We start from the raw sequence: 12,274 nt of genomic DNA on the forward strand, positions 1-12,274 counted from the left end.
CACATGAATTCAATGTCATAGAGAGTTTCTGCTTCTCTCTGTGGTTATACACCTCTGCTCCGGAAAAACTAAAAAACTGAGCGAATGGCCCTTTCTCTCAGTTTTTTAATTGCAAACCCTATAAGGTATTTGGCGTATTAGTATTGTCCTTACCAAGATGAACTTTATGGGAATGTCTATTAATTTGGTTCCCTTTTGGTTCTGGAGCCCAACACACAGATGATTTTAGGTTTTATTCTATGGCACTAGAAATGTCACACTCATTTGGGTGCTACTATTTTATTAAATGAAGGTATACTTGCATAATCTTTTTGTTTTTTAATATCTGATTCTTTTCACTATCTGCACATCCTAATCAAAGATGCAGTTTTCGTTCTCAAAATGCCTTCTCTTATTAAATTATTTTTAAACATTAAAAGAAATGTGTGTGTCCCAGATCAAATAGAGAGCCTATTAGAAGAGTTGAGTAGGATACAAGGAGAGATGTATGTTCTAACATTTCTATCTTCTGCATCATTTGTAAATCTTTTTTTCCACATTGGCCATGTCCAGTCTAAACCTTTGGCAGCATAGAATGATGTCTACAACACCAGTCTGTATTGGTCACATCCTCTTGTTGTAATGTAAGGTACCGTAAAGCTCAGAATGTGCCTACGTAGGTAAAATCCTTTTCCTTTTCTTCCCCTTCTTTCCCTTCCTTTCTCATCCTGATCTTAGAATAAGTTTGGCTAGATCTTTTCAAATTATGTTTTGTTCTCCTTGGTTAAGCAAATGTAAAATTCATGTCTACTTATTCCCAATAAGCTCTTCCCCAGGACTCCTGAGACACCTCCTATAAGTTCTTTTTGATATAATCCTTCTTTCCCCATACTCTGATTTTGAATATCACTGGATCTAAAGTTACTTTTGAATCCTCATGATGAACCTGCCTCTCATTCTACTCTTGGCGGGAACAGATAAATGCAGAGATGTAATTCAGAGGGACCCAGGAGTTGGGAAATCCAGGCTTCTCTGGCTCCTCTCAGATGGTTCCAATTGCTAGTTTGACAGTCTTTGCCAAGCAGGGCATTAATTTTAACCATAGAAACCTGGCAAGTCAGACAATTCAGCTTGACATTGCAATTCAGCAGTGGGAACTATTAGTTTTGGATCTGATTTTAAGTGGTCTCAGAATAACAGAAAGGGTTTCCTGAAGCCAAGTCATATGGTGGCCCTGTGTTTCCTTATCTGCCTTCAGCCAGGTTACCTGGGACCAGAGCATGTGCTTCTCTACTGCAAACCATCTAATCCTATGAGAGGCTGTTGTCCAGCTCTGGTGTTAGTGAGTTTTATTTCCCATTTTGCTTTCTTATTTCTTTATCTCCAAACTAATGCATGTACATTTTTGGAGGAAAGAAAAGAAAATACAAATAATTTGAAAGATCTTAAGATCTTAAAGGTCTTTTGTATTTCCACCAAGCAAAAGCAACCCCTTTAATAACTTGGTGCCTATCCTTCCAGAAGAGGCAGTGCAGGGAGAAAGACACAGAGGGAGGGAGAATTTTACTTGCATTTTCTATTTCCTTGGAATTGCTCCAAAGCAAAAGCACCAAAGCCCTGTTTTGGCCAGGACAGTATCCACTTTATCTTGGCTGCACATGGGTAGCTTATGCTCCACTATTCAAGGGATTGTTCAACCTTCCATAAACCTGCAAACAAACTCACACCCCCTCTGAGGAACTAGGACTGCAGAGCTGCTCTTGACACTGCCCCCACCCCTACCTGTGTTAGCTACATCTTTCTGGTTGCAAGGCATAGAGACTAATTTTCTTAGTAAAAAATGTGTGTTTATTTATGTATACTTGTGTGCCAGATTAACAATAAGCAATCTGTCTATGCTTCAGCACCTCCAAGGGCCAACCTCTCCCTCTGTTTTTCTCACACCAAATCCTTGGCTTCACTCAGCATGTCTGCTCCACTCTCCTTTTTCGAAGGATAGATCAGCTCCCTAACCCCCATTCCATATCCAAATTATGGAAGGAACTAATCTGCTAGATGCTGCTGTCTCTGTTTTACAGAATTTTATGAGTTAGGCAACCTCAGTAATCACTGGACAGACCCTTGGGTCAGGCATTTGCTCTGAACCATTGAGTGGTAGCCCTTGTTCAAAAAATGGATTAATGCTTCTTTCCTAAAGGAGCACGGTAGGAAAGGCTTGGGTGGGTGCAGTAGGCAGCAAGACCAGCATGTTAATAATGAGGCTGCCAATAAAATAACTGGTAAAGAACAGGAGGAAGGTATTTGACTTAAAGTTATTTAAACGTTGAAAATGACAAGATAGAACTAGTGATTTATTATTAAACTCTCAGTTTTCTGGCTTGGATGAATGGGTTAGATGGGGTTCCATTAAGAAAGTCAAGAGATATAAAAGAGGCAATTAGTTTTGGAATTTATATCTGGGCATATTTAGTTTGAAGAATGTGTGGGGCATCTAAGAGATGATATCTCTTTGCAAATGCTGCTACAAATCTGGAGCTGAGGGTAGTGATCTGGCTGGAGATTAGACTTGGGTGTCATTACACATAGATTGCAGATCTCAATCTGTTGCTTGAAAACCTCTGCTTTCTCTAACCTGGAATTAGGCTAGATGCAAGAAGATGATGGCAAATTGAGCTTTGGAGGGAACACTATTCCTTTGTAGAGATATTTCATCTCATCAGATTTGTAAATTAATTACATGAAGAGTAAAAAATCAAGCATCAATACCTTCATAAATTTTTTAAATAAGACTATTATGGTCCACTATGATTCTTAATGGAATCTAAGACAATCTGGCTACTAGGATAAGGCAAAAAAAGGTAATGCTTATGAATTACAGCTGCCATTGAGATGTATCATGGTGAAAAAGCAGGACACATTATGATGCTATGCAATGTGAAAATCTGTACTGAACTTGGTGGAGGTTGGCATGAAGTGACTCTTCTTGGCAAAGAGGGTTTAAAATGTCCTTCCCCTAGCCACAGGGCACAAGAAATTAATTATGTCAGGGAAACACAGCTGCCAAGGAAAATGCAGATCCAGTGCTCAGGTTACAGAGACAGAGAGCTACAGTACCACCCAGCCATTCCCATTGACCAATATAGGAGGCAGTTTGCCAATTTGTAAGACAGCTTTGTAAATATGTGGTCCCCCAAGACTCTGTTTTGAACAGTATGTAAGCGGAGACTCAGAAGCAAAGCCTGAATGATTGGATGAAGAAAGACCTTAAAAAAAGATACAAATACTACACAGACATCTGTGTTTTTTGAAAACTTAAGCTAGAAACTCCACAAAAGCACAAAGATGTTGTCAGAAGTAAGTCGAGATTTTGCAGTGCCTTCCTCTCTTCCATCACCACCACCATCATCACCAATGTAGAATGGGCTTTGAAATGATACAACTCTGGTTTTTAAATTCCAGTTTTTTATTTACTATGTGTCTGACTTTGGACAAGTTCTTAAACTTCATCTGTAGGATGAGGATGTTGCTTAGCATTGTTGCACAATGGAAATAATGTGTGCAAAGTACCTGGCCCAGGGAAGGTTTTGAAATGTTTGCAATTTTTTCTTTTTTCAAATTTGTATAAATGTAAGGGTTACAAGTGCAGTTTTGTTACAGGGATATATTTTGTAATGGGAAAGTTTGGGCTTTTGATGTAACCATCACCCCAATAATATACATTAGACTCATTGTTTACAATTATTAATCCCAAAAACCTTTGTTAATAAATGCAAAAATACCTGTAAGAAATCCTCTAGGTTCCCTTATAAAATTATTCTTCTCAATTTATTTTTCCTTAAGTTTGGAAATCTGTCAACTCTAAAATCTTTTCTATGAAGATCATTTAGGTTTTTAGGAGTCTTGCCCAATTATTTGAGGAGGATTTATTGCAGTTTTGAGAGATACATAGAATGGCTTGCCTTCTTCTCTAAATTGTAAGCAAATTTCAGATCTAAAAACATGTTGAAGATTCTATTTTATGTATGAACCCGGCTATTACTTGAATGATTCAGAGACCTCAGTTTCTGCATGGCATCTGAAGGGACTTCAGGAATTCGAGGTTGGTGGATGATTGTACCATCATCACTGCGTATTTGGGATTTTTGTGCTATTATACCGAGGGTTGTATAGCATCTTCCTAGCAACTTCTTTCTAGTTTATTGCCACTATTGCAAATGTCAGATCTCAAGACTTTTGAGTGTTGGGCTTTTTATGAAGCCAGTAGCCAGTCTAAAATAAATTACTAGACATATGCTGATAGCAGAAAATGACCATAGAGTTATTTTCCCATTTACTCTTTATTGTTATATTTAAAAAGTGAACTTCTGTGAACACTGACATGGTTGCCATGTATTTTTTTTGGTTCTTGCTTGTGGCTTGCTCTGTGAATAGCCTAAAAACTATTTCACTAGTGGTCATCTACGTTAGCTAGAGGGTAAATTCCCTAAGGACATAGACTGATAGCAAATTTGCTCAGCGTGGGGAGAAGAGAAATCACTAAATACATTTTGTTGAATTAACCCAACTTAGTGAATTCATAATAAAACAAATGGCAACATTTTATAGCACCAGGAAATATTGTCAGATGAAGTTCTTTCTGACAAAATCTGGGGTGATATGAAAAGTAACTTATTCTCCCAAGACAACTGGCATCTTTTCTCTGAGACTCACTAGGCTTTGAGGATATGCTAAGATGGAGTTTGAGGTTTGGGAGAGGCTCCTCTTGGCACATAGAAACTGAAGTGCATGTGTGACTTTCTTCCTACTCAAGTGTATTGAGTAAAGAAAAATATTATCTAAAAATTGATGTTGGCTCACTCTGACTTAGCAAACACAATCTTGGATTTGTATGGACACGTAAAGCTTTGGTAGCCACATATAGTTGATGACTGACTTCCTTTGGCCTGCCACCTGACTTTCTTGACCCTGACGTAGACACAGAGGAAGGACTAGGCTGTCTTTATATTATTTAAAAGAAAACTGAAGAGTCAACCGAAACAAAGCAGCTGGAGCAGAAACTCATTACTGGGTAGAGAGGTTGAGGACACACTTAGCTGAGTTTGAAATCTACAACAAAGTTGAAGGCTCAGGGTGGGCTGCAAAAAGATAACTCTCTCCTCCAGGTTGTAGAGATTTTTATAGTAGGGAGAGAAAATTGATGAATATGAACCCTGTCAGCAGTAATTAACAGCTCCCAAATGTGGTAAACTGGGCTTCCAGTTGCCTTGGAGGTAATGTCTGACACAGAGATGACAAGAGATGCAAGTTTATAAATATCAAATCTAAATTAAGTAGACATACTGAGAAGATAATTTTCCCTCTGTTTTTGCTTTGTGTTTTTGGTTATGATCCATTTCATTAACCTGAACTTCAAGTTTACACCATGGTACCCAACCATGATAAAATCTAGGGATATAATTGTCAAGAAAGAATGACTCATCTGTTTTCATTACCCATTCATTATAGGGCCCTTCTTATTTTAGAATCCATTAAAAAATTACAGTAGCTAGTTTATAGAACGTATTTTATAATACTAACTATAATCATTGAATTTCTAGTGTTTTTAGAAGGAGTGATGGCTGTGTACTACTCTGGTTGAATTTGTTATAAAAACATTGACTTTACTTAGAGGTTATGGACTTTTCAAATATTTTAAAATAGTATTCAACAACAGACTCATTCAGTTCCAAACAATTACCTCAGGCTTCCATTCCCTGCATTCCAGGCAACCACTTTTGAGTAGCCCATTTGTCTCCCGGAGACTCTGGTATTTTCCTTCTTCTCTTTTCTTCCATTCTCTTTGTGTTCCCATCCACCCCCAGGAAATTGGGTAATTATTACACTTTATCCCTTTCCTTCATCCACTGATCCAGGGATTTGCGCTGCATTGCAGATTTTATAACAGGGAAAATAAAAAGTGTTGGTTCTAGAATAAGAATGAATGATTCTATAATGAGAAGAGATGGTTTAGGCTACACTTTGTCTTTCTCGCTGCGACAGCATGCTCACTATGCACAGGATCATGGAAAACAAAATGAAATATAACATGACACTTTGGCAATTTATTTAATTTTGTGTATTAGAACAAAACCGAGAACAATGTGAATTGAAAGCCAGTCTTCAAGAGTTTCTAAACATTTGGCATCTGCCTCCTTGTCAATAATATCCTAATGAGCACTTTTGTTCTGCTTTACAAACCTTGTCTAAGTCATTGTCTAAGTCTGTTTTGTGCTGCTATAAATTACTAAGATGGGGCAACTTATAATGAACAGAAATTTATTGGCTCACAGTTCTAGAGGCCATGAAGTCCAAGACTGAGGGGCTGGCATTTGTTAAGGTCTACTGTTATGTCATCTCATAGTGGAAAGGCAAAGAGAGGTTGAGAGAGTACAAGAAGAGGCTGAACCTGTCCTTTCATGAGGAACCAACTCCTGCAATAACGAGCCCACTCATATGATCAAAGCATTAGTCCATTCATGAGGACAGAGCCCTCATGGCCTAATGTCCTCTTAACAGTTCCACCTCTTAATAATGTTACAGTGGTAAGTTTTCAATACATGCTTTATGCGGGACACATTCAAACCATAACAGTCATACACAATACAAAGTATGGGATGGGAAAGTACAATTGTCCTCATTGCTTAGGACAGGAATAAAAAGTTTCAGGTCAGGTGGGCGAGGTGGCTCATGCCTGTAATCCCAGCACTTTGGGAGGCCAAGGCGGGTGGATCACAAGGTTAGGAGTTCAAGATCAGCCTGGTCAAGATGGTGAAACCCCGTCTCTACTAAAAATACAAAAAAAGTAGCTGGGTATGATGGCAGATGCCTGTAATCCCAGCTACTTGGGAGGCTAAGGCAGAGAATTGCTTGAACTCAGGAGGTGGAGGTTGCAGTGAGCCAAGATCTCCCCTGCACTCCAGCCTGGGTGACAGAGTGAGACTCCATCTCAAAAACAAAAACAAAACAAAACAAAAAAAGTTTCAGGTCATGCAGCAAATGGTAGAAAGAGGATTCCATTCATCCCCAAATCAAGTGACAGGCTGTTCAGCTTTCAAACCACTAGGGCATATGCTTATTTGACTGTTGCGTTTTTATCTTATCATGATCTCTTAATTCAGGACAAATTACTTTACCACCTGAGCCTACGGTGAAAAATCGAAAGTATAATTCCTGCTATGCTACTCTGCTGCTCTACAAGTAATTAAGTGAATTGTAAGTATTTTCTAAGATGTATTTTACAGATTTTGACTCATCATTGAATTAGACATTTTTAAAGCTTAAATCCAGTGCACCAAAAACACAGGATGAAGAATTTACAGAATGAAGGAAAAAATGCAGTAATAAGTTTAAGTTCAAAGAAGTTAATTCTATTTTTGACATTAGGAATGCTCACATTCAAGACCCTTTTTGGTTAGGTCAAAAGGTATGAAACATTGAGATCATATCTTTACATTAATAATGTGAACCTGCAAAGTTCAGCTATTAGAATCAAACACATTGAAGAGGTGATCTCTTCTCTGTGAAATCTGTCTAACCTATATCTTTGCAATCTCAATAAGGAACTGACTTTCAAACCTTGTAACATGATCTTATAAACACAGGCATTCAGAATGCTGCAATATGGTACTTCAAGGATTTGAGCTTTTTGTGGCCAATCTATCACTAATTATGTGTAATTAAGGAAAGAAAAATATAGTGCTACAAAATTGAATGCATATTTTAAAAAACAGATGCATATTTTGTCTGGGAATTTTGCTGGCATTAATATTTTTGGAAATGATATTATAATAGCAAGTAAATTATAGATCATTTTATTGAAAGACAGAGTGAGTGTCCTTAGATTCCAAAGACTCTTTCAAACTTCTATTTTCCTATCAAAATCAGTCATCAGAAAAATTTTTGGATAAATACTTTCAATGTAATGAGAGCATTAGAATCCAGGAAAAGAATGGTGTTTAAAAACATATGAGCCAGGCATGGTGGCTTTTGCCTGTAGTCCCAGATGCTTGGGAGGCTAAGATGGGAGGACTGTTTGAGGCCAGGAGTTTGAGGCAGCTTGGGCAGCACAGTGAGACACTGTGTCTAAAAAATTTTTCTTTAAAAAAGAAACACTTCTTTAAGAAAGAGTGAAGGGGCAGAGCTTTATTTTGCGTTGGGAATGGGAATTGTGGACAAACTGTTGTTTGGTTATCTTTGCAGCAGCTTAAGTGCTGTGGAAGAAAGATGAGAAATTTCCCAAGTATTTCATACGGGAGCACTAAATACAGATAAAAGATCTTATCTCAATTCAGTTAAATCCGATCTTGAGTGACGTAACAGTATACTAGATTTTGTGGCATTACAGAAATATTAAAAAAAAGTCTCGACACTTGAAGAACTTACAATCTTATCACATAGACAAGCATATTAAAAACGTGTTCCATAGCCAAGGATAATGACACAAACTCCATTTGTATTCAATAGATATTGGATTCCATTCTTCACAATGTTTAAGTTACTCTCGGTGAAGTGCAGTGAGAGCCACTTAATTTCCTTCCTGCAACATCTAAGTGTCCGAGGCTAACTTTGAGGGCCAAACACCCAGTTCTCTTCATTTTTTTCCCGTTTAAAAAGTTGTCATTTTAATTGGAAAATATTTACCATCTACGATAAGCTTCTGAGCACTGGGATTGATTTTTAGCCATTTCTGATTCCTACTAAATACTCTGTACACTGAGCAATGCACTAAATGTTCAATAAATTTCCTAAGAAGAAAATAAAATTTTTGTATAAAAGAATGAAGGAGATAACATCTTAGTCACACACACACACACACACACACACACACACACACAGACAATTAAATGTATAGTTAAAAAATTTGAGAACTTGGCTAAAAACCCCAGGTCCACCTCTTACTAGCTGTGTGATCTTAGACAATCTTAGGACTATGATTGTAAAAGGATTGTAGGTTGTTCATTCACAAAATAACAAATGTAAGGATAGATCCTTGAGATAATCTTGTGTGGGTTAGATTACATCATATATGTGAAGTGCCTACAATAAGTTCTTGCACATAAGTGCCCAATAATTATTAACTATATTGTTAGTTGTACTTCTCTATATCTTAAAAGATTTTACACAACTAATACTAAAAACAGATATAATGAAACCAGAAGAAAAGAGATAAGAATCAGGCTATAAAGTTGACACCTAATTTATTCCAATTCTTTGACCAAATGTGTGAAACTGGTTTGTAGCTCTTAAAAGATGCCCAAAGTCAGGTAGTATTTCATGGAAGAAGATACTGCATATGTATGAATTTTGTTAATATTTATTTTTTATATCATTACTTTGGGGATGTGACAATATTATAAAACAGATACCTGGCAAAACTCAAAACACCATTGCAAAGAGATTAGAAAGAGTTGATCCAGGTGCTTCGTTAATAGCAAATGAATCTGAATAGCAGTTGACTTAGATTTTTATCAAGTCATAGTAAATGGCATTCTCTAGGAATCCAGAAATATGGTCCTAAAACATGGTGACTTGGTAACTAACAGATTTTAAAAAATTATTATGGTGAATGAAGAAGCTTCTCTTCTTTTAAATTTTAAAATTTTTTCATCACCTCAAGTCTGAAGAAGCTTCACTTGAGTTGTTTAGCTCAGTAAAATTATGCTTTTTGCCCTGCAACTGCTTACCATCAAAATTGTCCAAAGATTCTAAAGCCTGCTGTATTTAAAAATCTACATTAAGTCACTGGTTTATTAATCTTTTAGTTAGCTATGCTATGAAATGTTAGCCCAATTTCTCAGTCAAACTGTTTTTAATCTGTGAGACGATGTCATTTCCCCCATCTATGCCTCTTCTAAGGTCATAAAATTTGGTTGAATTCATACCCTTTGCTAAAGTTATGATCCAGCCAGTTACTGAGCATTTTCTAAATTAGGAATTATCTATAACTTTAGTGCTTCCCTTTCATGAAAATCCCCCATTTTTCATGGTTTAAAATTAAGTCAGTACTTCAGACATGGTACCTGGTGAGCCAGCTGGTTTCTTGGACTCCTGTAATAAATTATTTCTATTGTTCTCCAGGCCTCAGATCCAGTGTTCTCTTGGGATCTTGCTAAGTACCCATGTTATCTCCTAATCCTGGCTGGTTGCCAACTCACAGGCATTCGTAGCCTATTTCAATCTGGCTTTCACATTTGCTCTTTACACACCCAAGTTGGCCTTGTAACACTGCCCAACCGAGGTAAGGAGGAGAGAATCACACCAGTTGCACAGTCCTGTAGCCCAGAGAGTCTCTGAGATCTTATTGGAGTCTGTAAGTTCACAGCACAACTCAAGGATGATGGCAGTCTTCCACCCACATTATTATTGCCTTTCCTGTGCTCTGGGCTTGGAAGTCTTGGGCTGACTCTTGTCTGAATCATTACTCAACTTATAACCATGCCCAGTGCTGTGTCTCAGCTGCTCAATGGCATCTCTGAATTTCTACATTTAGCTCTGAGTAAGACCAGTTCCCTTGGGTCCTTGCTGGTTTGTTGTTTGGGTTTTCAGCCAGTCCCAGGATTTTCCAGAGTGAGCTGGCTTATCATGACTTGTGCTTCGATACCAGAAAGGAAAATAGCCAACCATCAGGTCGGGGTAAGGAGTTAGGGAAAGCATTTTAGACCTCCCTGAATGGCTGTGTGAATTAGGGTTATGGTTGGATAGGATGTTGAAATGAGTGACAGAGCATTCTAAGTGGACGAACCACATGAGGAAAGGCAGATAAATAGTTTTGATCTTTTGCTAAAGGAAATCAAGCAGAACAATTTGCCCGCGGGCTTCAATTTGGATTTATGAAGTTTAATAAAAATTCACAGGAAATTTTGAATGTAAAAATCAAGAATTTGACATTATGTTATTCTTCCATGAGGAGCCATTGAATGTTTTTAGGAGGCAAACATTTATTAAGGGTATTTAGTTGGTTCTAGAGAACAAAGAGTAAGACCTGTATGTAGTGATTGTACTCCTTTTCCAGTAGGAGAGGCAGATATGTAAATGAATAATTTTGATGTTCAGTTGAAGATTTTTTAACAAATGCAGTTTGGTCCAGAAGTTGGTTTATTAACCCAATTATAAAATTTGGTTATAGGAGGGAATTTAAAAATACCTTTTCATACTTACATTTAAAACATAAAATTGTGACCTCATTCACTGATCTTTTGATATAAGTCAAGGCCTTTTCTTTGGGTAAAGATCTTCTGCTTATAATTATGCATTGCTTTTTTTTACATATACCACATAATGCATGACATATGGTTTAATGTTTTTATTTTTCAAAGTGGAGTGAAAAATCAAAGAAACTTGCAAAGTAATGAGTGAAGACTGTACTGGGTTGGTATTAGTTTTATAAACTAGTGTTTTAGTTATCTTGCCAACATTTAATTTAACAGTGTTATTTTTAGCAACTCACCTTTATTCAGTTTTTAAAAATATTCACGTGCATTTTCATAGAAACAACCCTTGTCACACTTTTCAAAATCACATTTAGAATATAATTTAATTATATCATTAAAACAGTAAGGACAACTGGTTTGGGAAGAAATGTTACCAACTTTTTGGTGCCAACTTTTCGGTGCACATACAAGTCAACTGGCAGAAAGAGAAGCTCTTGATTATGCTGGACAGCTAAAAGGTGAGAGAGTCTAGCATGCTTTGGGCATCAGCCATTGCATTTTACAAAAGGAATGGATGATATAATTGTAGTTTAGGTACATTAATTGGAGTTTCATTAAGAAGAGTTCTTTGCTACCAAAACTGAGGCACGCACAGATGTCATGGGAGGACAGTCTAACAGCAATTAAGTATTTATGAAATCAAGTAGGGCCCAGATCAGAACCTTGGGAAGCACCAACTATGGGATGAAAGATTTAAAATTTGACTATCTTGATGAGTGTAAACAACCGCAAACTTACACTCAAAAATCAATTCATAATTGATTTCAGGAAAACTGAAATAGAAGTGGAAGAGACAAAAAAGGGAGTCAGGGAGCTATTAAAGAAATATCTCTTCAATTTCACCATTTTACTCAGGATCAATTCTTCTCTGAAGCGCAGAAAAATACATGGAGGTAATTTAAACATAAATTATGTGTTTAAATTCTTTTTTTTCAGTTACAGTTTCAAGTTTATTAACAAAGATGGAAGGAATGGAGAAGAAGATGGTTGATAAGGACATGTTTTTCAGAAAGGTAAAAAAAATAAGAAAGTTTCTTAGAATGAAT

At 36.9% G+C, this 12,274-nt stretch overlaps 1 protein-coding gene across 2 annotated transcripts in view; it reads right to left on the reverse strand.

The window, feature by feature from the left end:
- Nucleotides 1–12,274, reverse strand: part of KLF12 (KLF transcription factor 12) — a 619,957-nt gene that overhangs the window by 514,618 nt on the left and 93,065 nt on the right. The window lies entirely within an intron of this gene.

Source organism: Homo sapiens, chromosome 13 (genome assembly GCF_000001405.40).
Source record: "Homo sapiens chromosome 13, GRCh38.p14 Primary Assembly".
In the NCBI taxonomy this organism is placed as follows: Eukaryota; Metazoa; Chordata; class Mammalia; order Primates; family Hominidae; genus Homo; species Homo sapiens.